At 37.9% G+C, this 25499-nt stretch overlaps 1 protein-coding gene across 10 annotated transcripts in view, besides 1 other annotated feature; it reads right to left on the bottom strand.

The window, feature by feature from the left end:
• The window catches only part of MAP3K5 (mitogen-activated protein kinase kinase kinase 5), a 236046-nt gene that overhangs the window by 117534 nt on the left and 93013 nt on the right, over window positions 1–25499 (bottom strand). For all 10 annotated transcript variants that reach the window (XM_017010875.2, XM_047418784.1, NM_001438058.1 and 7 more), the window contains 4 exons: window positions 23910–24103; window positions 22640–22808; window positions 21372–21478; window positions 19561–19731 (listed from right to left, as the gene is read on the bottom strand). In XM_017010875.2, coding sequence (XP_016866364.1) covers window positions 19561–19731; window positions 21372–21478; window positions 22640–22808; window positions 23910–24103 — 641 coding nt within the window. The remainder of the gene's footprint in view (window positions 1–19560; window positions 19732–21371; window positions 21479–22639; window positions 22809–23909; window positions 24104–25499) is intronic.
• Window positions 10881–11050: an enhancer, noted in NCBI's record as "experimental_90326 CRE fragment used in MPRA reporter constructs". NCBI's record gives its function as "activates a minimal promoter by MPRAs in K562 erythroleukemia cells, with activity observed for both the introgressed and non-introgressed 6:137006683 variant alleles {active_cell/tissue: K562}" and the evidence as "EXISTENCE:reporter gene assay evidence [ECO:0000049][PMID:34662402]".

Below are 25499 nucleotides of genomic sequence, written 5' to 3' on the forward strand. Positions count from 1 at the left end.
AGTCAATATTATTGATATAGCCCCAACTATCAGTTGCCACATTAAATGTAAATGATCTAATCATTCCTAATAAGAGATTTTTCAAATTAGACTGAACAATAACAGCAAAAAATGCAAGTATATTCATTTTAAAAAGGCACACTGTAAATACAAGTTGAGTAACCCTAATAAAAAAATCTGAAATCTAAAATGCTCCAAAATCCAAAACTTTTTGAGTGCCAACATGATGCTCAAAGGAAATGCTCATTGGAGCATTTCTGATTTCCAATTTTCAGATTAGGGATGCTCAACTGGCAATTATAATGCAAATATTCCCAAATTCAAAAATATAAAAAAAATCCAAAACACTTCTGGTCCCAAGCATTTTATATAGAAAAGATACTTAAGTATTAGGACACAGGTAGGTTGAAAGTGAAATGATGCATAAAGATGTACCATCCAAATATTAAATAAATGTTATCATTATATATTAATATCAGACAAAATTGACTTTAAGATAAAAATTATTATAAGAGAAAAAAGGAACGTTTCATAATGATAAAGAGGTAAATTCAATAGGAAAATATAACAGTCCCAAATGTACCTAATAGCATGGCTTCAAAACATATACAGAAAAAAATGCACAGAACTAAAAAAGCAGATATAGAAATCTACAATCATAGGTAGAGATCTTAAAACACTTTCTCAGTGATGATCAAACAAACAGACAAAAATTATCAGTGAGGATATAGATTTGAATAACATTATTAGCCAAGTTCATCTAACTGACTTACCTGGAACACTACACCTAACAACTGTGTACCATATTCTGGGCCGTAAAGTACTTCTCAACAAATTTCAAAGGACTGAAATAATGAAAAATGTGTTCTCTCACCATAATATAATTAAACCACAGAACAATAAAGAAAGATATATTTGGAAATTGGGCAACTCAGTTCATAACCCAAAGGTCAAAGAAGAAATCATACTGAAAATTAGAAGGTATTTAAACTGAACAATATATATATGTTGTTATATATAAGGTAATGAAAGTCTAATAGATAAAATGTCTGGGATGCAGAACAAATTATACCTTTAAATGTAGATATTGGAAAAGGAGCAAGGTTGAAAATCAATGCTCCAAGCTTTCATCTAGTAAACGAACAGCATATCATCTTCAAAGTAGAAGGGTATAATAAAGAAAGCTGAAATCAGTGAAATAAAAAGCAAACATGCAATAAAGAAAATAGTGTCAAAATGTGGTTCTTTACAAAAATTAATAAAGTTGATAAACTCCTAGGCAGACTTCTCATGAAAGAGAGAGAAATAAAAATTAACGCTAAGCCCTCATAAACAAAAAGACGGTCATCCGTACAGATGATAGAGCATTAAAAGCAAAGGACATTTGGAACAACTTTATGCCAATAAATATAACAACATGGGTAAAATGAAAAAATTTCTTAAAATCACATGTAAGCATGACACAAGGAAAAAATGGAGACTCTGAATTGCTCCATATCTGTTAACAGAATTTATAATAATCTGAAATTCTTCTTTTTGTTGTCTATCTGCTCCAAGAGAATGTAAGCTCCATAAGAGCAGGAACCTTAACAGCCTTGCTGACCAATGAATCTCCGGTACTTGAATCATCAGAATACCTGACACGCTGCAGGTGATTATGAAATACTTGTGAAATGAAGAAAGAATGCATCCACTTCCTACCAAGAACCAGGCTGAGATAACTGGTAAATACGTCAGTTCATACAAGATACAAATAATCTTTTAACTTCCTTCAGTGATCTAAACTCTGATCTTGATAAAACTATATTACTAGAAACTACATCCTTGGACCACCTTAAACAAGTGAATTGCATATCACTTTCACTGTGTTACATTATTCACTGTGTTACATCTTAATGTTACTGGAGTTCACGACTTCAATAAAAATACTGATGTTGTTTATATAGCTTTTATTGATTGTTGTTTATGTAGATTTTATTTACACAGGGTCTGTCATGAGAAATTCCTTTAATTTACTGCTAGGGAGAGTTTAACTTCCTCTGAAGAATTGGTATATGATTTTTTTTTTCATTCTATCACTAAAAAGCATATTGGCTTGAAGCTTAGTCATAGCAAGCATGTTGATACTTATTATTGCCATATTTACATTCTCTAATTTCTTTGTGTTAACTTTCATATGTATTTTATCATTTTGTTAATTTTTCTTTTCTTTTCTTTTTTTTTTTTTTTTGAGACAGAGTCTCACTCTGTCATCCAGGCTGGAGTTCAGTGGTGCGATCTCAGCTTGCTGCAACCTCCGCCTCCTGGGTTCAAGTGATTCTCCTGCCTCAGCCTCCCGAGTAGCTGGGATTACAGGTGCACGCCACCACGCCCAGCTAATTTTTGTATTTTTAGTAGAGACAAGGTTTCACTGTGTTGATCAGGCTGGTCTCGAACTCCTGACCTTGTGATCCACCTGCCTCAGCTTCCCAAAGTGCTGGGATTACAGGCATGAGCCACTGTGCCCGGCTCATTTTGTTGGTTTTGTAGATGTTAAAATAATGATGATATCCATTTTTTTTTTTTTTTTTTTTTTTGAGGCAGAGTGTCGCTCTGTTGCTCAGGCTGGAGTGTAGTGGCGCAATCTCGGCTCACTGCAAGCTCTGCCTCCCAGGTTCATGCCATTCTCCTGCCTCAGCCTCCCAAGTAGCTGGGACTACAGGTGCCCGCCACCACGCCCGGCTAATTTTTTGCATTTTTAGTAGAGACAGGGTTTCACCGTGTTAACCAGGATGGTCTCGATCTCTTGACCTCGTGATCTGCCTGCCTTGGCCTCCCAAAGTGCAGGGATTACAGGCGTGGGCCACCGTACCTGGCAATCTCCACTTTAACTGAAGATGCTATCTCAGACATTTTAGGGTAAGAGTGTTACAGTATCAAACAACTTGCAAATCCCAGTGGCTTGCAACTCCTGTTCATGCCACATGTCTGTGTCATGAACTCTGTGTCATGGTTCAGCTCTGCTCCACATTGTCTTCCATCTGGGATCCAGCCTGAAGGAGCAGCCTTCTCATGGAAATGGCCAAGGAAAAAGTACATGTGGTACAATCACAAAATTGCTCTCAAAGCTTCTGCTTAGAATGCACATCAATCAAGACACACAACCAAGTCTGGTGTCAAGGGTGGGAATATTTAATCTTCCTACAAATGAGGACAGTGTAGTTCTAACAATAATACAACAGCATAGATGACGGTCTCTATCAAAGAAAGCTGTGATTAACATCAAATGGTAAAAGAATCTATAGTACCTGCCTCTGCTTACTGAGCACCTACCAGGTACAAGGCATTGAATGAGACATTTCAGGCATAATACTTCTAATTCTGACAACTCTTTAAAGTAGGGGGAATTCCTTACCAACAAGGAAATTGAAGCACAGGAATATTAAGTTATGCAGTGTGGAAGTGGTCAAGCAGGAACTCTACCCAGTTCTGCTGGATTCCATAAGCCTAGGCCCTTTTCTTTGTATGGCTCTGCCTACCCTTTGGTTTGTACTAACAATTTTTGTAGTTCTTTTTCATTATTTTCTGGGTTTTTTTTATTTTTGTTTTTAATAAAAGGGAGTTGAATTAAACAGGAAAAATAAATATTGCTTTTATATTAAGGATAAAGCTTGTATTGCTTTTATATTAAGGATAAAACTTGTATTCTATATACAACAGAAACAGATGCTGATATATTCTAAGAAAAAAATGGTATTTTTCACAATATATTTGATCACTCTCATAAAACAAAAGACTAATATTTCAAAAAGACTTACATGGCAGTACTGCTGAAATGCACCCATAAAAACACACCAAACGAGTTTTATAATGCTGAGAATGTCACAGTTTAGCAAAAGGATACATAAATATGAACAATATGTAAATCTATACATAAAGAAATCTAAACAATGATTAAAAGTGCAAAACTATCTATAAAGATAGAGAAATAAAATGATGAAGCTAAATTGGGTAAGACTTTAAGAAGGAAATAAATCTTAGAGAACTATACATTTACATATTAAGAGAAATTTAGTGGCTATCTTTGAGTAACCATACGAAGTTATTTCCACTCCTGTTGATTTTTTTTTTATTTTAGCACTAAATATTTGTTGAAAGGGGGCAAATAATTTTTTTTTTCTTCTTGAGATGGAGTCTCGCTCTGTCGTCCAGGCTAGAGTGCAATGGCGCTATCTTGGCTCACTGTAACCACCGCCTCCCAGGTTCAAGCAATTCTCCTGCCTCAGCCTCCCGAGTAGCTGGGACTACAGCCATGTGCCACCACACCCAGGTAATTTTTGTATTTTTAGTAGAGATGGGGTTTCACCATGTTGGCCAGACTGATCTCAAACTCCTGACCTCAGGTGATCCACATGCCTCGGCCTCCCGAAGTGCTGCGATTACAGGCATGAGCCACTGCACCCAGCCAAAAGGGGGCAAATAATTTGCACTATTTAATTCATTATTTCATTTAAAAGATGTAAACTTCTCTTTTGAGCTTTCAAAGCAATAGGTTTTTGTTCCAGAATTGCCTTATGATTAGTACTGTATTTGTCACCTGATTGCAAACTAGCTTAAAAGCAGTTAAGTCTTTGATATAGAGTGATGAAGTCTTCACAAAAAAAGACTTTTCACTTTTTGCATCCGCACTGAGACATTCAACAGAAATCAAAAATAAAGGAAATATTCTTGGACTGATCATTTCTAGCTGGAATATGTACTTTCCAACAAAGAAGACACTGAGCTCAAGTCAAGTTCTTGCTATTTTTCCTTGTTTGTGATATAACAGTTGTGATTCTTTCTATGAGACACAAAGGTAATTTAATTAGAATTTCATGTTTTTTTTTATCTCTAGGGATATTTCTGAAATTAACACTCATAAAATAACTCAGAAACAAAGCAGGACAGCATGTGAAGAAACTAATGCTGAATCACCCTGCTGCTGTGATCTGCTGGTGGGGGTATAACCCTCCAATTCAGACTACTTATTTGTGTACATATCTTGTTATAATAGAAAACTCAGGAACAAAAATAAAAGAACCCCAAGTTCTAACTGTGTTTTTCCAGTCCTTTTACCACGCACATATTTTTTTTCCAAAAAAAGAGAATCACCCTATTTTTATGATCTGCTGTTTAATTGATGAAATATCATGACGCATGTTACTATTAAACATTTTTCAAAACCACAATTTTCTTCTGGGTATATACTTAAAATAATTAAAAGTAGAACCTTAAAGAGATATTTATACACCAATGTTTAAAGTAGCATCATTTACAATAGCCAAAAAAGTTGGAAACGATTTAAATGTCCATCAAGAGATGAATGGATAAACAAAATGTGGTATATACATACAACACAATTATTATTCAACCTTACAAAGGAAGAAAATTCAGACATATGCTACAATGCAGAGGAAGATTTGAGGGCCTTATGCTTAGCAAAATAAGCTAGCCACACACACACACACACACACAAAACCCAAAGCAAATATAATACCACTTACATGAGGTACCTAGAGTAGTCAAATTCAGAGAGATTTATAGAAAGACAGAAAGTAATGGTGGTGCCCAGGGCCGGCGGAAGGAGAGAATGGGCAACTGTTGTCTAACAGATACAGACTTTTAGTCATGCAAGATGAAAAAATTTTCTGTGGATGGATGGTGATGATGGTTGCATAACAATATGAATGTACTTAATGCCACTGAACTGTACACTTAAAATGGTTAAAAGAGTAAATTTTATGTTATATATATTTTACCACCAAATTTTGAATAAATGATATTCCATCCTTTGGAAACGTGATCCTTTGCTTAACAACTTATCTATTTTTGGATATTTAGATTTCTTCCAATTTTTTGTTACCATAAAGTTCAGTGTCATGAACACCATTGCAGATCTTTGTTTCCATATCTACCATTTCTTTAGGATAGTTTCCCAGTGACAGAACTGGATCAAAGAACATGAATTATTTCAAAGCTCTTGATGCACAATACCAAACTGCTTTCCAGAAAGGTCTTTACCAATTCACATTCTCAAGAGCAGTGTAGGAGAGTGACTTTTACAGTGTACCCATGCAAAAATAAATTATTCTCATCTCTTCTCATCTTTGCCAATTGATTACAACAAAAAAGAATAGCTCAAATTTGATTACTCTTAAGGGTGAATAGTTTTCATATGTACACTTACTCTTGCAATAACTGCCCCAATTCTTTAAACAACAATGCAAACCCATATTCTGAGAAGGCTGGAAAGATGGGAAGAGATACCCTTGGAAGAGCTCTGCAGGGGAGGAAGGGGCGGGGCTGGGGGTGTAGATTTAATCTTGGAGGCTATGAAGAACAGTAAAGATTTAGGAGGAAGGGAGTGACAGCAAATATGGGGAAAATCTAAATATTTCATGCAAGGGGAATAGTCACATTAACCTATTATGATTAATCTATGCTGTCAGATGGAACCACGAAAGCAGAATCTTCCAGGGCAAACAATTTCACATTGTTAAAAAATTCCCTAAGCAATTCTGATGTTCTCAGCCAGATTTGCAAACAATCGCTTTGGTTCACTAAGTGAAATCACTCCTATTCTTCCATATTCTCCTTCCTTTTCAGTATAATGCCTGGCAAATATCTAGTTCTCTCACTCATTTCTCTAATAACTGAATTACATAAAGCAAGCCTTAGTTTCTCTCCTTAGGTGCTCCATCTTTGTTAGTCAATTAGGAGACCTCTACAGAGACATAGTAAATACTCTTATTCTGGCCATGTGCAATGGTTCACGACTGTAATCCCAGAAATCTGGAAGGCTGAGGAAGGAGGATCACTTGAGCCCAAGTGTTCAAGATCATCCTGGGCAACACAGTGAGACCCCATCTCTAGAAAAAATTTGAAAAATTAGCTGAGTGGTGGTGCACATCAGTAGTCATGGATACTTCAGAGGCCGAGGCAGGAGGACAGTTTGAACCCAGGAGGTTGAGGCTGCAGTGAGCCATGATCACACCCCTGCACTCCAGCCTAGGTGACAGAGCGAGACCTTGTCTCAAAAAACAAAGCAAAACGAAACGCCTGTAATCCCAGCACTTTGGGAGGCCAAGGTGGGCAGATCACGAGGTCAGGAGATCGAGGCCATCCTGGCTAACATGGTGAAACTCCGTCTCTACTAAAAATACAAACAAAAATTAGCCGGGTGTGGTGGCGGGCGCCTGTAGTCCCAGCTACTTGGGAGGCTGAGGCAGGAGAATGGCGTGAACCTGGGAGGCAGAGCTTGCAGTGAGCCAAGATCGTGCCATTGCACTCCAGCCTGGGCAACAGAGCAAGACTCTGTTTTAAAAAAAAAAAATTATGAATTCTTAGACCTCAACTTGGTCATGCCATAACACAGCTTCATCCAATCCATCATCTGCTGAATGTGGTATTAAATCAAGGTCAAAGCATGAGACCAATGTTCCAGGGCACTTGTTTACAAAGCAGCTATGGACACACTGTGTGTTTTACCCAAGTTCCTAGGTCATCCTGGAACTAGCGATCCCTTAGGAATCCTGTACATCTATCTGGTCACCAATGAGCTGGTGTCATGCTGAGTTACTAAAAACTTTTCAGGCCTTGTGTTCTAAAAATAAAAATCATCCAAAATTTGGGGACTCATATAATAGACACAATAAAGGACTAAGCAAAAATAATGTTAATGCAACAACAGTGAGATAAAACTCTGGAGGTGGGGAGAGAGGGGGAAGGAGGGTGGTAAAAATGAAGAGAACACTGAGAAACATAACTCGAAGCCAAGACAAAGGAAACAAGGCTAATCTGGCAAATGGAAAATTGACATTGGTCTTTATTTGTCTGTTGATTAGTTTGTTATATAACTCTTCCAAAGTAGAGCCAACCCCATTAATAATGTAAAAACTAAATCTTTATTAGGCACACATTACTGTTTGAATAGCACTGTCACTGACGTAAAAGAAAACTAGTTGATAAGGCCAGGCTCGCTGTTCTTCCCCAAGTTACTATGGAAAAATGAACATATTAATGCTAAAAACAGACTTAATGCTTTTAATTTCCTGGCTATGGATCTTTTTTGGCATTATAACAAGAAAGACATGATTATGCTAATACAGTACAAGCACCTAATTTCCTTTCAGAGTTCTCAAAATGACTTCATATCTTCCCTTAAGAATGAGAACACCGTTTTCTCCAAAATCAAATGTGATTTCAGGCAAGTACTGCCTATCCTACATGGTGCCACAATAGCCCTGATATATGAAATTCAGACAGGGCCTGTGTAAAAATTATGCAGACTCTATACATTTTCCCTCATTAGCTAAAATGTTTAGCTACATCCAGAAAGAAAAAAAAAGACTTTTAGAAATATTTTAGAACAAGGGAAATTTAATATAGTCAATGTCCATTTTGAACATGGATAAATATATCAAATATGTAAAGACATACAAAATGGCGGGGGAGCAGAAAAAAATACAAAATTATTCACTAAAGATGTATTAACACCAAGGATATAACACTAAAGGCTTACTAAATTTCAGGACTTTAACATATGTTGTTTCATTTAATCCTCACAACAAAGCACTCATCCCAAAGAGGTTAGTCTAAACCGGTTGTAATAATCCCATCCTCTTTGCTAGTGATTTGTGTAGTTTGAGGCTGATGAAATACTAGAAGCATGAAGGCATAAAGAAAGTCTGGAGTAAGTTTTTACAAGCATGTTTTCTCAGTCCTAAGAGAAAGATACAGGAAAACATTGCCTCAGTTCCCCTCGACACTGGTGCAGCTAATCTGGGTTGGTCTTGGAATGGCCATAGCCATCTTGCAATCCCGAGTAGGGGCAGCCCAAGGTCAAAGCCACCCATGGCCATAGCAAGAAAAAGGACCTGACTGATGTCTTTCAGCTGCTGGTTCAACCTGCACTTGAGCCAGTCCTACTTCTGAACTTCATGTTTTAGGAGATACACTTTCTTATGATTAAATCCATTGGAGTAAGGTGTTCTGCTACTTGCAATATGCCAAGAGCATTCTAACTCATCTACGCAAGTGTTAATTTTTTTTAAGTAATAAAACAGAATATTCTAAGGGTAATTTGCCCAAGATCACACTGTTTCCAAGTATTGTGTAAACACTGATCCCTTGTGAGTCTCCCATTAGTTCATACTTCTTCAACAAAACTGAAATCTAGACATTTCTGGAAATGTCTATTCCTGGAAACTTCAGGAAGGAGGGCCTAGGATACAGTAAAAACAACACTGGATCTGAAAAAATAAGATCTGAAATTTTATTAATCACAGGGCAACACGAAATTCACTGGAGTTCTTTGATTTTTAATTTCATCAGTTGCAAAATGGGAAGAAGTGACCAGGTGTGGTGGCTCCCATCTGTAATCCCAGCACTTTGGGAAGCTGGGGTGTTAGTATCACTTTGCTCCAGGTATTTGAGACTAGCCTGGGCCACATAGCGAGATCCCATCTCTACAAAAAATAAAAAATGAGCCAGGCATGGCGGCATACACCTGTGGTCCCAGCTACTTGGGAGGCTGAAGTGGGAGGATCACTTGAGCCCAGGAGTTCAGGGCTGCAGCGAGCTGTGATCTGCACTGGGCGACAGAATGAGACCCTATCTCAATTTTTTTTTTAAAAAAAAAAGGAAGAAAAATGTCAGCCTTGCCTACTTCACAAGGTTCCTGTAAGCCTCCCTCATTAGTAACATGCACAGAAACGTTGTGTGAACTCTAAGGGTTAAGGGCTCAATTATTATTAATATTTCTACCTATGTGAGCAAATACTGCATATAACAAAATTTTCTAAATAAGTCATACTGCATAGGAATTCAGCATAACCATTTCATGGTTATTTCTTTTTAGATTTGCTTAAAAAAGAAAATGTGGAGATAATCTGGCAATGAGAACTTCTGTGGTCCTCTAAGGCATGGTGATTTGTCCCTAACACTTCCTTGGATCATCTCCAGGGGTTAAGTTTGCCACTTCAGAAACTTGATGGCTGTTTTTTAGGATGTAAGTCTCAGCTCTTTAGTCACAAATTCTCACCCCTTGAAAGCTGGCTCTCCTCCCAGCTTCTCACCCTCTCTGCTGTCATCTTGCTCCTTCTCCTGCAGCCCAAGTTGTCCTCTAACTAGCATGTGACGGGCACCACTGCTGCCTTTAACTGATTTAAATCTTTATATTGAAAAGCTATGAGAAAAATGCCACAGCCTTTTAAATACAAATTGCATTATTTCAGCCATTCTCAAGAGCTGGGATGAACAAAAATAACTAAGGAAATGACAATGCAAAACATCAAATGTTAGAGAACTATGTTTTTAATGCTTAAATTAGGATGTATTCATTCAAACCATTCACTCTCTGTCTCACATAAGAGTCAAGAATCACAGTTTGTTGCAACAATATACTGTAATTCAGCACACTTAGAAAAATCTAAACCAGCCAGGCGCGGTGGCTCACGCCTGTAATCCCAGCACTTTGGGAGGTGAGGCAGGTGGATCTGGAGCCCAGGAGTTCAGGATCAGCCTGGGCAACATAGGGAAACCTTGTCTCTGCAAAAAAAAAAATACAAAAAGTAGCTGGGCATGGTGGCACGCGCCTGTAGTCCCAGCTACTCAGCAGGCTGAGACAGGAGGATTGCTTGAACCCAGGAGTTCAAGGCTGCAGTGAGCCAAGATTGTACCCCTGCACTTGAGCCTGGATGACAGAGCAAGATCCTGCTCTAAAACAATAATAATAATAATAATCTAAACCATTTTCCCCCTATTTTCTGTTTTCACATTCTGAACCCACAACTAAAGCTATCGGAAAATAGATCACATTAGAGACTCTCTGTAGCACTAAAACGCTGCCATTTAGTACTTGAATCAGATAATATGCCCAGGAGAGTAAAACTTCCTCCCTCCACTGTGGGTCAGGAACATTTATTAATATTATTAAAAAAGAGAATTGCAGAAAGAGTTCGATGAGCCATTGTAATCACAACTGCTTGGGTTCTCTTTCCATTGAGTTGGAACTCTTATCCTTAAACTTTCCATGATCAGTGGCTTACTGTTTATTCAAGTCAACAGAAAATGATTCAGTCCATGGAAAGAAGCCTGAGGGACTGACTACCTGCCCTAACACCTCACTCCTTATGCCAGCAACAGCATTTAAGAAATGAAAACCCAGAGGATTATGACTCAAAAGAAAAAAACAAGGGTCAGTTGAAACATCCCTTTGGGACCCATGACTAATGAGGGGCATAATCCTGGGTATATCTGGCCAGATGCCTGACAACCTCAGCAGCCCTCCTCCCTGTGAGCACCTTGACAGGGCAGGTTTCCTTCTTAGCTCCAACAGAAAGGGAGGTTGGGGACAAGGCCAACAGAAATAAGACTATGTTTGCACTACAGCGGAAACTGGACAAAACACTAAGAAATACCAAAATAGCTTTATAAGCAAGAGCATGAAAAGGCATCCATTTTAAGATTGGGGAGTGGGGGCTCCCTTTTAGTGTTAAATAGGACAAATGGATATAATGACAATAATGGCAGGTTATGGATAGGTCCTCTACAGTAAAAGTGGCATTCTTACATTACTAAATAAATCAGTAAGTGTCATGTGCAAGATCAACTCCTGAAGACTGTCCCATTAGAAGTCTTTGAGCTCATAAACTAGGTATTGATGGAATGTATCTCAAAATAATAAGAGGTATTTATGACAAACCTACAAGCAATATCATACTGAATGGGCAAAAGCTGGAAGCATTCCCTTTGAAAAGCAGTAGAAGACAAGGACGGCCTCTCTCACCACTCCTATTCAACATAGTATTGGAAGTTACGGCCAGGGCAATCAGGGAAGAAAAAGAAAGAAAGGATATTCATATAGGAAGAGCGGAAGTCAAATTGTCTCTGTTTGCAGATGACATGATTGTATATTTAGAAAACCCCATCGTCTCAGCCCAAAATCTCCTTAAGCTGGTAAGCAACTTCAGCAAAGTCTCAGGATACAAAATCAATGAGCAAAAATCACAAGCATTCCTATTCACCAATAATAGACAAACAGAGAGCCAAATCATGAGTGAACTCCCATTCACAATTGCCACAAAGAGAATAAAATACCTAGGAATACAATTTACAAGGGATGTGAAGGACCTCTTCAAGGAGAACTACAAACCACTGCTCAAGGAAATAAGAGAGGGCACAAACAAATGGAAAAACATTCCATGCTCATGGATAGGAAGGATCAATATCATGAAAATGGCCATACTGCCCAAAGTAATTTATAGATTCAATATTATCCCCATTAAGCTACCATTGACATTCTTCACAGAATTAGAAAAAACTACTTTAAACTTCAGATGGAACCAAAAAAGAGCCCATATAGCCAAGACAATCTTAAACAAAAAGAACAAAGCTGGAGGCATCATGCTACCTGACTTCAAACTATACTACAAGGCTACAGTAACCAAAACATCATGGTACTGATACCAAAACAGATACATAGACCAATGGAACACAACAGAGGCCTCAGAAATACCACCATACATCTCCGACCATCTGATCTTTGACAAACCTGACAAAAACAAGTAACGGGGAAAGAATTCCCTATTTAATAAATGGTGTTGGGTAAACTGGCTAGCCATATGCAGAAAGCTGAAACTGGACCCCTTCCTTACACCTTATACAAAAATTAACTCAAGATGGATTAAAGACTTAAATGTAAGACCTAACACCATAAAAACCCTAGAAGAAAACCTAGGCAATACCATGCAGGACATAGGTATGAGCAAAGACTTCATGACTAAAACACCAAAAGCAATGGCAACAAAAGCCAAAATAGACAAATGGGATCTAATTAAACAAAAGAGCTTCTGCACAGCAAAAGAAACTACCATCAGAATGAACAGGAAACCTACAGAATGGGAGAAAATTTTTGCTATCTATCCATTTGACAAAGGGCTAATATCCAGAATCTACAAGGAACTTAAACAAATTTACCAGAAAAAAAACAATCCCATCAAAAAGTGGGTGAAAGATATGAACAGACACTTCTCAAAAGAAGACATTTATGCGGCCAACAAACATATGACAAAAAGCTCATTATCACTGGTCATTACAAAACGCCAATCAAAACCAAAATGAGATACCATCTCATGCCAGTTAGAACGGTGATCATTAAAAAGTCAAGAAACAACAGATGCTGGAGAAGGTGTGGAGAAATAAGAACTTTTTACACTGTCAGTGGGAGTGTAAATTAGTTCAACCATTGTGGAAGACAGTGTGGCGATTCCTCAAGGATCTAGAACCAGAAATACCGTTTGACCCAGCAATCCCATTATTGGTATATACCCAAAGGATTATAAATCATTCTACTATAAAGACCCATGCACACACATGTTTATTGCAGCACTGTTCATAATAGCAAAGACTTGGACCCAACCCAAATGCCCATCAATGATAGACTGGATAAAGAAAATGTGGCACATATACACCATGGAATAGTATGCAGCCATAAAAAAGGGTGAGTTCATGTCCTTTGCAGGTACATGGATGAAGCTGGAAACCATAATTCTCAGCAAACTAACACAGGAACAGAAAACCAAACACCGCATGTTCTCACTCATAAGTGGGTGTTGAACAATGAGAACACATGGACACAGGGAGGGGAACATCACACACTGAGACCTGTTGGTGGGTAGGGGGCTAGGGGAGGCATAGCATTAGAAGAAATACCTAATGTAGATGACGGGTTGATGGGTGCAGCAAACCACCATGGCATATATATATACCTATGTAACAAAACTGCACATTCTGGACATGTATCCCAGAACTTAAAGTATAATTTAAAAAAAAAATCTAGAAATCTTTGAGCTCTAACACCATTTTCTGTTCTTAATAGAAAATAAATAAGATAGCTTAAAATGAAATCACAAAAATCCTGACATCTTCAATTTGACCTGAAGACCTTGAACACAAAGCTCTTTTGAGAGGCAGTTAATGTTCCTAGGCTAAATGGGAATTATTAAAATAAAAGAGCCAGAATTTGTAAGTACAGAAAATTGAAACAAAAACAAAACCAGAAAAAACTCTGCTCCTTAACTGAACTTTATGCGACCTTGAAAGCTCTCAGTCTTCTAAATTATTTTGTTTTCAAATGGAAAAACACTTCTATTTTATCCTTGTACACAATGCATTCTAACTTCATAGGAGATGTTTTTTATCTTAATTCATTCACCTTGAAAACCAGGCCTTTTTGGATTACCTATGCATTTCATTGTCACATACGAAAGCATTTATACTGGGCATAATGCTTCTCAAATATCTGATTCTAAATCTCCCACAACTAAGAATTTTCATAAAGTGTAAACATCAGGATAATAAAAGGGCTGCACAATTACACTCCTCTTTTGTAATAGCAGAAAAAAAAAAAACTTGGTTAAGGCCAAGTACAGTGGCTCATGCCTATAATCCCATCATTCTGGGAGGCTGAGGCAGGAGGATCACTTGAGGCCAGGAGTTCAAGACCAACCTGGCCAACACAGCAAGACCGCATCTCTGCAAAAAATTCAAAAATTAGCCAAGTGTTATAGCGTGCACCTGTTGTCCCATCTGCTCAGGAGACTGAGGCAGGAGGACTGCCTGAGGCCAGGAGTTCCAGACTTCAGTGAGTTATGATTGTGTCACTGTACTCCAGCCTAGACAACAGAGCAAGACACTATTTCTAAAAAATAAAAGTTTTAAAAATAAATTTGGTTAAGATAAACTGTGAAACTCTTAGCAGTGTAATAAAAATTCATAGTACAAATTTAGAAGTCCAGACCAAAGCTTCCCTAAAGGATCTAGGAAACTACTGTCCCCAAGTGTTTCTCCTTCTCCCCATTACCCTACTTTCAGTTCTTGCTATGGTTTGAATGTTTCTCCCCAAAAGCATGTATTGGAAGCTTAATCCCCAATGCAATAGTGTTAGGAGATGGAGCCTAATGAAAGGTGAAAGGCCACGAGGGCTCTGACCCCATGAAAGGATTAATGCTGTTACATCAGAAATCGGTTCTGTATAGAGGGAGTGGGCTCCTTTTAAAAGAACATGTTCAGCCCCATTTGCCCACTCTCTCTTTCCCCTTCTGCCATGAGTTGATGTAACAAGAAGGCCCTTGACAGATGCTAGCCCCTTGATCTTGGACTTCCCAGCCTCCAGGACTATGAGAAGTACATGTGTATTAATTGTAAATTACCCAGTCTCTTGTATTCTGTTTTGGCAGCACATAAAAGAACTAAACAGTCCCTCTAAAGTGTGAAAATGATCTAAGATTTCTAAAAGCTAAGATTTCTGTTTCAAAACTTAAAAAAAAAATTATAGCTACCATACAGGAATTCCTAAACTAAGTTGGCCTCCTTGAATTTTTTTTTAAAATCAAGGACTATTTTGGGAATGTGATAGGTACATTCCCTATCATACTAAGTACAAAAGAATAATATAAGCAACACCCCGATATACTTCCTACTCAGCTTAAGAAATAAAATATTTTTAATATACTTGAAATTGCATGTGAATCACTCCAGGATCTCTTTCTACTTCTTCCTCCCTACTGGTAACCATTATACTGAATTTGGAGTTTATGATGCCCATCCGTGCATCTATACTTATACTAAATCTCTATGACTGTTTTTAAACATTCTATAAATGATACTGTACTCTGTATCCTTCTGCCACTTGCTTACTTTGCTCAACTTTTTTAAAGTTTTTTTTTATGTTAAAACTTTAATGTAGAGAAATGTCTAAGATTTACTCTAGGGTATATAAATCTGCTGGACCTAGGGGAGGCAAGTTCTCAACTTTCCTCAATAATGCCAAAATCTTTTAAGTGCGTATAGAAATTTATGGCACAACCAGCAGGCATTAGGACTCACATTTCTCTAACATCCTGGCTAACAATTGATATTGTCAGATTTATAAATTTTGGTTAATCTGAATAGTGTAAAGTAGTATAAAAATAATCTTTTTATAAGTTTCAAAAATATGTTTATTGGCCATTTGTGATTCCATTTTTGTGAATAACCTGTTCATATCCTATGCATTTTTTAATCTCTTTTTCTTAAAGATATTTTGAGGAGTTATTTATATATACTGAATACATATCCTATATTGGTTACATGCATTGTTCCCTGTGATTTCTTTGTTGATGGTATCTTTTATATTTATTCATATATTTATCATTTCCAGTGCTATATGCTTTTTCCTATAGATCCATTTGGTTTTATTTCCCTTCAGCCTAAAGACTTTAACATTTCTTGTAGTGAAGTTCTGCTGGCAACAAATTATCTCAGTTTTGATGTATCTAGAATTGTCTTTACTTCACCCCCATATTTTAAAGACATTATCAGTGGATATAGAGTTCTTGCTTGATTGGGTTTTTTTCTTTCAGCACTTTAATGTTATTCCATTATCTTTTGGCTTCCTTCAGCACTCACTCTTTCCCCTGATGTATCTTCTTTCTTAGGCTGCATTTATGACCTTTTCTTGTATTTCTGTTTTTCACCAATTTTACTATGATGTGCCAAGAGATAATTTTCTTTGATATTTATGCTCCTTGGGTTTTGCTGAGCTTCCTAGATCTGTGAGCTGTTTTTTATTTGTTTGTTTGTTTGAACAGATTTGGATAATATTTGACCACTAATTCTTCAACTATTATCCCTGCAACAGTATATCTCTCCTCTCCTGGGACTCTAATTAAAAGTATCTGGACCACTCAAGGCTGGGCACGGTGGCTCACACCTGTAATCCCAGCACTTCAGGAGGCCGAGGCAGGTGGATCACTTGAGGTCAGGAGTTTGACACCAGCCTGGACAACATGGGGAAACCCGGACTCAACTAAAAATACAAAAAGTAGCTGGGCATGGTGGGGCATGCCTGTAATCCCAGCTACTTGGGAGGTTGAGGCACGAGAATCGCTTGAACCCCGGAGGCAGAGGTTGCAGTGAGGTGAGATTGCACCACTGAACTCCAGCCTGGGCAACAGAGCAAGATTCGTCTCAAAAAAAAAAAAAAAAGTATTTAGACCACTAAATGCCACAGGTCATTGGAATTATTAATGACTTCATCTCTTTCTTTCCTCTGCTTCAATTTCAATGATTTCTAATAATCTGTTTTGAAGTTTATTGCTCTTTTATCGTATTGTGTCCTATCTGCTGTTAATCTGATTTGATGACATTTCAACTTCAGATATTGTACTTTTCAGTTCTAGAACTCCCATTTGGTTATTTCCAGTTTCCAAATATCTCCTATAATTCCTCATATTTTCACCCATTATGTTCATCTTTTCAAGTAGATTCTTTGATATAATTATCATTGTTATTTTTATGTCCTTGTCTGGTAATTCTAAACTCTGTTTTATCTATGGGTTTATTTCTATGAATAATTTTTTTCTTAATTATGAATCACACTTTCCTATTTCTTCACCACTTTAGTAGTTGAGAGTTTTTCTTTCTTTTTTTTCTTTTTTTCTTTTTTTTAATAAGACAAGGTATTTTTATATTGTCCAGGCAGGTCTTGAACTCCTAGGCTCAAGCCATCTTCGCACCTCAGCCTCCTGAGTAGCTGGAACAATGGGAACATGCCACCACACCCAGGTTGCTTAGTAATTTTTATGGTGTATTAGACATTTTGGATGATAAGCTGTAGAGAGTTTGGATTTGTTCTCCTCCTCTTAAGAGTATGTAGTTTTTTAATAAAAGGTAAATAAATTATTGGTGGTTCACCTTGTTCACACAAAGGCTTATCCCACTCAATGTCCAGGTCCTCCGGCAGCCTCAAACTCACTCTCAGGCCAATAAGACTGTGATTTCCTGCTAGAGTTCTATCTGTCCTGCTCCCTGCAGACCAGGGAATGTCTTGAGGGAAAAGCCATTTAAATGTGGAGTTTATCCTATGCGGTGCCCTTCATCCAAGGATGAAAACCTTTCCAGTTTCTAGCTACTTTTAATCACTCTTCAGTGCTTTCCAACTTTTTTCCAACATTTATAATTGTTATCAACAGGAAGATAAGCACAATAGAATCTACTCTGCTGTTTCCAAAAGCTACTACTTTGATGAGCAGAAGCCAATTTTCATGTAGACCATTTTCCCAGTCTTATCTTTTATGGTATATGGCGTTTTTAAGCCTTGTTTAAGAAATCTTTGCCCCAGTCAGGGCAACATGGTGAAACCCTCTCTCTACCAAAAATACAAACAATTAGCCAGGCGTGGTGGCACACACCTGTGGTCCCAGCTACTCAGGAGGCTGAGGTGGGAAGATCACTTGAGCTCAGGAGGTGGAGGTGGCAGTGGGCCGAGATTGCACCACTACACTACAGCCTGAGTGACGGAGCAAGACCTTGTCTCAAAAAAAAAAGAAAGAAATCTTTGCTTATCCAATAGTCATACATAATTTGTACACTTTATTCTAAAAATATTTTTCTAAAGTATTTTTTCATATTTTGGTATTTAACTCACTTAGATTTCATTTTTTTGTGCATGGCTTAAAATGGGGATAGAACTTTATTTTATTTTTCCAAGCAGATAAAGAAATTTTCCCAGTATCATTACTACAGATTCCATCCTTTCCTTTACAGCTCATGAAGCTGATTCTGCCATAAATCTAGACTCATGTATATCTTAGTCTGTTCCAGGCTGTCTCTTGTATTCCAGTGCTTTGTTTGTCTATGCCTATAGCCATACTGCAATATCTTAATCATTACAGCTTTATAATGAGTCTTGTTAACTGGTGGAGCAAGTCCTTCCACCTTGTGCTTTTCCAGAATTGCTTTGCCTATTCTCAGTCCTTTATTCTTTCAAATAAATTTTGGAATTGGTTTGTCAAATCACATGAAAACCCCTGCTGGGGGGAATTAAAATCTTTAAAATATCAAGCCTTCTCATCTACAAACTCGGTATATTTTTTCCTTTCATTCAGGTCTTTTAAACTGTCTTTATATAAATTTTTCTACAAAATTATATTTTATTATTTATATTACTTATTTAAAATATCTTTTTAAAATTATATTTCTTAAATTATCTTTTCATCTATTTATCCCAATTTACTATACTATGTTAAATGAATTTCATCAAATTATTTACTAAAGTTATAAACTCTAAGATTGGCCCGGTGGCTCACGCCTGTAATCCCAGCACTTGAGGAGGCAGAGGCAGTTGGATCACCTGAGGTCAGGAATTCAAGACCAGCCTGGCCAACAGGGCAAAACCCGTCTCTCCTAAAAATGTAAAAATTAGTGGGCGTGGTGGCGGGCACCTGTAATCCCAGTTACTGGAGAGGCTGAGGCAGGAGAATCGCTTGAACCTGGGAGGCAGAGGTTGCAGTGAGCTAAGATCACATGACTGCACTCCAGCCTGGGCAACAGAACAAGACTCCATCTCAAAAATAAAATAAAATAAAATAAAATCTAAGGTTTAGTTCATAATACACAATCTTATGGATTATAATAATACTTTAACACTCTCATTTGCAAATACTTTTTTATGCCATGGATTTACTAAGTAAGTAGCTCATTTATATACTATTTACTTACCAAGAAGCTCCATGGTCTCTGCTTTCAGTGTCCGTGAAATTAGAGTCCAAAAACATATCTTTGTAGATTCGACCAACTAGGCAATACATATCTGAAGCAACTTGTCCTTCGCTTTGCACCATGGGAATCATAATATCAAGAGCTTTTGCTCTGTCACCAGGGAGATTTCTCCTAAGGCAGAAAACATTGTTGTTTCAATATACATTACAGAAGCAATATAGATCAATTCTTTTTTAAAAACCCTATTTAACATGTTGATTCATATTAGAGAAATTTGCCAGGACAGAAACAATTAGATTTTGAGAGTCCTCTGTAAACCTCTGTCCTAAGCCTAATTTTTTGTTTTATCCCATTGTATGTCTACTAGGTCTAACAAGGATTTCTTTTGAGTTTCTGTGTTAATAATGGTGATGGATTTGTACTTACTCATCCACAATCCTTCCAATTTCCCTGCAGCCTATATGCAGGTTCAAGTTGGTGAAACGAGATTAGAGTTGTAGTCTGTGTCTTTGAATAGGGTAGAGTAAATAAAGCCAAGTAGGGACAAAACCCTGACCTTAGGTTTCAATGGCTTTTGCTCCAAAACTTAGCAAACTCATTCACAGATGATACCAAAAATCAAATCAAACCCAAGAACTGCTTGATTTCTACGTGTGACTAACTGATTATCTAAGGAAGTTGCTTTATGTAGCATGCTTTAAAATAGTATGTGTAGACAGTTCACAAAACCAGATAAAAATTCTATAAGAGTTATCATTCCTTAGACCTTGAAAATATTATGCTAAGTGAAAGAGGTCAGTCACAAGGGACCACATACTGTATGATTCCATTTATATGAAATGTCCAGAATAGGCAAATCTGTAAAGACTGAAAGTAGATTCGTGGTTGCCTAGAGTTGGGGGATTTGGGAGGGAAATGGAAGGGGGGCTGCTAATGGGTACAGGGTTTCCTTGTGGAGTGATGAAAATGTTTTAAAATTTATTGTTTTGATGAAATATATTTAGTTTGTTTGTTTGGAGACAGAGTCTTGCTCTGTTGCCCAGGCTGGAGGGCAGTGGCATGATCTTGGCTCACTGCAACTTCTGCCTCCCAGGTTCAAGCGATTCTCCTGCCTCAGCCTCCCGAGTAGCCGGAACTACAGGTGCACACTGCCACACCTGGCTAATTTTTTTGTATTTTAGTAGAGACGGGGTTTCACCGTGTTGCCCAGGCTGCTCTCGAACTCCTGAGCTCAGGCAATCCGACCACCTTGGCCTCTCAAAGTGCTAGGATTGCAGGAGTGAGCCACCACGCCCAGCCTGTGAAATATGTTTCAATAAAGCTATTATAAAAAAGGTATCATTTCTATTCTCAATTACTACTTCAAATCTTCTGTCCAAGAAATTCCTTTTTATCCTTGGTAATAACTATCTAACACTATGTTCACCTAGACATAACCATCCTTACTCTAGTGAAAACTTTTGTGTGAATGACCATCTGGTGTTGAGTGTATTTGCTTAAAGATAACATCATATTCATGTAACTTTTACAATTCTAAAAAATATGAATAGCAAATACAAACTTTGACAGAGCAGAAAACCTGTAAGAATTTAAATATACCAACAGTGTGCGACTTTTTTTTTACTGAAAAATAAATCAGAAAAAAATGAGAATGCATGCTTCCTATATTTCATGGGGCTGAAGCAGATATGCTAATATTACATTTTAATAGGGACTTCTTGCAATGCTGCAGTGAACACATTCTCTGTAAAGAATTGCAGGTTACACAATAATATGTTAACGCATTCTGGAAGGGAACTTTTTCTTCTTACCTATTCAGTGCAAATGCATAATGAAACTTCACATGGTGATGGGAGGCCAAATCAAAGGTTGGCAGTTTTTCTAAAGTCTCTACCAGCTTCACAATAGAATCATAGTCCTTTCAAATTAGATGAGAATAGCACAGAATTAAACCATTAGGAGAAAATTCTCACAATAACGTGTCTTTTGACAACCAGATATCTGAATTCAAGAAACACATTAAAAAGACACTAGAATCCACAGAACACTTTGAAGAACCTAGAATAAACAGTTTTTGTTGTTTTTCTTCTAAAAGGTTTAGATCGTATATATAAAAACATTAGAAACATACAGTTACCATGTTGAACAAAAACTAAAAAAGCAAAAGAAACAAAAACACCAAGCATGATAGTGCTCTACTGTCTAAATATGGGTGATTTATTTCCCCATAGAGCCAGATTCCCGGTATGCAGTGTTCTAACAATTTCAGGGAAATAAAAATGTCAAGGACATGAGGCAATGGGTTGAACTTCTGTTACAAGTAGCAACACAGTTTCATGTCACATGAGTAAGCACTCTAGCCACAGGATCCTATGTGCCACAGCCCTCCATGGATGTGAGTCTGTCTTGAGCACATGAAGCCTTTACACAGACCTGAAAGGCTAGGAATGGAAAGGAGAAACCAGATGTCATTTAAATTTTACTATTAAAACCTAAGAGCAAATCCCTAACTTGGAGAGGATTTTATTCCACTTACCCTATTTTTAAAATTTTAAGACATGTCAATAAAAATGATATAACCTGTTAGTGTGTTTTACATTACATATTTTTAAAGTTATTTCTGTAGGTAATCAATTACATATTTTTTCCTTCAGGCGAGTTAGATTCAGCACTATCAATTTCAAGCAATACAATTTCAAGGGATAAAAGGTATGTCCAGAAAGCTCTAAAAATGTCTGCTATTTGCCAAAACAAAGCTTTCACTGACAGGTGTGCCTGAGGCTAACAGTAGAATAGACTGTGTCCACAGGTTCGCTGTGCCAGCAGATTTTTCTTTTTGTTCTTTTGGAGGAAAAAGTCAGGCCTTTACCATACAAGTCTTTCACAATCACTGATGGTTAACTCACATGAGTCTTTTTCATTCATCATAAAATTATAGGATGGAAAGCTTAAGAGAGTCAATAAAAAATTACGTGTAGTAACATGAACTGCTTACCAGCAAACTGAAATTTGAGGTTAATACTCCCTTATCCCTCCAACATGCTACACAACAAAGATTTCACTTTAAACATCTTCTCACCTGGATATCTCTGTAGGAAAGTAACAGATTTATGACAATATCTGCTGTCAAGACTTCGATATTATCTACTCGCTGCCGAATTCTTGCCAACTCAGCTGCCAATTCTTTACCAGTGTATAAATTACGAGCTTTCCTGATGTCATTGAGTATAGATTCCCGGAAGTACTGGCTGGTAAAAACACACACATTTCAAAGAGTTTGACATTAGAAACAATTTCAATGAAAAGCAATAATTTTAATAAAGACATGAATGATATTGCAGCATTAGCTATAAAGCATTTGTAGTTTTCAGTTCATTCAGATGCCTAAATAAATATCTTACATATCTGGCATTATTAAGAAATTTAGAAGCCAATGTATTTCTTTTATTACTCTGCCTTCAGAAAGAATTAAAGGTAAAGGTACTCCATATTAATAAATTTTCCTGCAAAAAACCACTTAAAATGCCAAAACTTTGTTTTCCATTTTACTGTTTCCAGTACAAATTGTTCTAAATAAATTAGATGTACCTATGATTTTTTGTTTGTTTGTTGTTTTTGTTTTTGAGACAGAGTCTCACTCTGTTGCCCAGACTAGAGTATACTGGCATGATCTTGGCTCACTGCAACCTCCATCTCCTGGGTTCAAGCAATTCTCTTGCCTCAGCCTTGTGAGTAGCTGGGATTACAGGTGTGCACCACCACACCTGGCTAATTTTTGTATTTTTGGTAGAGACAGGGTTTCGGCATGTTGGCCAGGCTGGTCTCGAACTCCTGATCTCAAGTGATCTGCCCACCTCGGCCTCCCAAAATGCTGGGATTACAGGCATGAGCCACGGCACTGGCCGTGATGTACCTATGATTTGAACATAATATAACCTTAACTTCCTGACTCAGCCTATCATTTATTAACATAAATAATTGTTCTTCACTGAAAGAACAATTAGAGTTAAGAGTTAATTAAAGTTGAATTGTTCTTGCCCTTACACTAGAAGTCCCTGGACATTTATCCTGGTATTGTTTCTGTACTTGCTTTGTATATATTTTTAGTTCTACCATCACTATAAAGCGGTTAGTAGACTTTTTAATTTTTTGCTGATTTCAAGTTGCTGTTCTGTGAATAAAATGTATTATGTGGCATCTATTTTATCTACTTGGAGGATAATAAACATTTTCCCCCTAGTTCTTAGCTGTATACTGATATCTCAGGAGCACCTGATATCATGCACAAATAAAGATGTAGAATAACACTTTATTGTCATCACCAAATGGCATTATTAATTAAACTTTACCTAGAACTTGCTTGTGCCACCTTCAAAAGTTGAATAAAACGATCCACAAGAGGTAAGCAGATGGGTCCAAGAAGCAGCTCGAAGTTCGGTTGCATGAGCTCTGTCAACCCCTTCATGAAGCTGCTGTCACAGCAGTAGACTTTGTTATGTGGAGTTATCATGTAAGGAACAAAGGTGTAGTTCCCAGTGCACATCTGCGGAGAGAGGAGGCATCGGCAAGTGGGGAGCTGGCCTGGAGACACGGCACAGATGGAATCCCACGTCTTACTCATTTTAAATAATTCCAAATGCAAAGGGAAATAGAAAAGCCTCATTATTTATTTATGACCTACGACAATGAAAATTTCCCCAATTCCTTTCACTGCATACTTCAAATAATTAGGACTTACAGATGATACCAAAAAAAGAGTGGAACAGTTTCTATCCATCAATTTAATATTTATTCACCATCTTTCAAGGCTAGGGCACTAAGTTATTGCTGTTGGAAAAAGTAGTTTAAAGCATGGCCTTCAGCTTTCAGGGAACTTATAATTTAGTCACAGGGCGCAGCATACACATATGAAAATGCTACAAGCTCACATTTGAAGGGCTTCCTACATGTAAGGTGATGCCGCAAGTAGATCCCGCTCAAATCCACCCCCCGGGAGGCTGCTCTCTCTCTGTCTCCCCACTACTAAAACTACAGGCCCAGAAGTTACCCTTGATGCTTCCATTCCCTTCCCCTTCCACATCCTATCGAAGTCCCATCTGTCCTGCCTCCAAAATATAATGTCATATTTGTCCATTTCCCTCCATCTTCTCGGCCAACACTTTAGTCCATGCACCAATGGACCTGGCCTGAGCCACTGCCATCAGCTTTAACTGGTCCCCCTGCTTCCACTCTTGTCCTCTAATTTACTCTCCACTCTGCCATCAGAGTGATCTTTCAACACTGTCCCTCAGATCACTTCCCACAGCTGCTTAAAGCCCCATCTCTTGCTCTTGGGAGAAAGAAGAAATTGCAATGCAACGTACAAGGGCCTGACTACGCAGATCCTGCCCCTCTCTAACCTCAGCCCTGCCACTCTCCCCTCGCCCACTACAGCCTGGGCTCACTGACCTTCTCTTGGTTCCTGGATGATGCCCAAGCGAGGATAAACTGGTGCAAACAAAAGCAGAGCAGGGATGAAAGTGGAAAGTGAGTTGGATACCCTGAGTAAGCAAATCTGACTGGAGCTCGAAGCTCAGGGAAGGGAATTAAATGCAAAGTTAAGGATGTTAGACTGTACATTCTGGACAATGCAGAATCATAGAAGGATCCACAGCAGGAAAGAAAACACAATCAGCTGAGTGTGATGGCTCACGCCTGTAATCCCAGCACTTTGGGAAGCCAAGGCGGGCAGATTGCTTGAAGCCAGGAGTTCAAGATCAGCCTGGCCAATATGGTGAAACCCCGTCTCTACCAAAAATACAAAAATTATCCAGGTGGGGTGGTGCACGCCCTTAATCCCAGCTACTCAGGAGGCTGAGGTGCGAGAATCACTTGTAGTGAGCCGAGATTGCGCCACTGCACTCCAGCCTGGGTGACAGAGCGAGACTCTGTCAGGAGAA

This window comes from Homo sapiens, chromosome 6 (assembly GCF_000001405.40).
Source record: "Homo sapiens chromosome 6, GRCh38.p14 Primary Assembly".
In the NCBI taxonomy this organism is placed as follows: domain Eukaryota; kingdom Metazoa; phylum Chordata; class Mammalia; order Primates; family Hominidae; genus Homo; species Homo sapiens.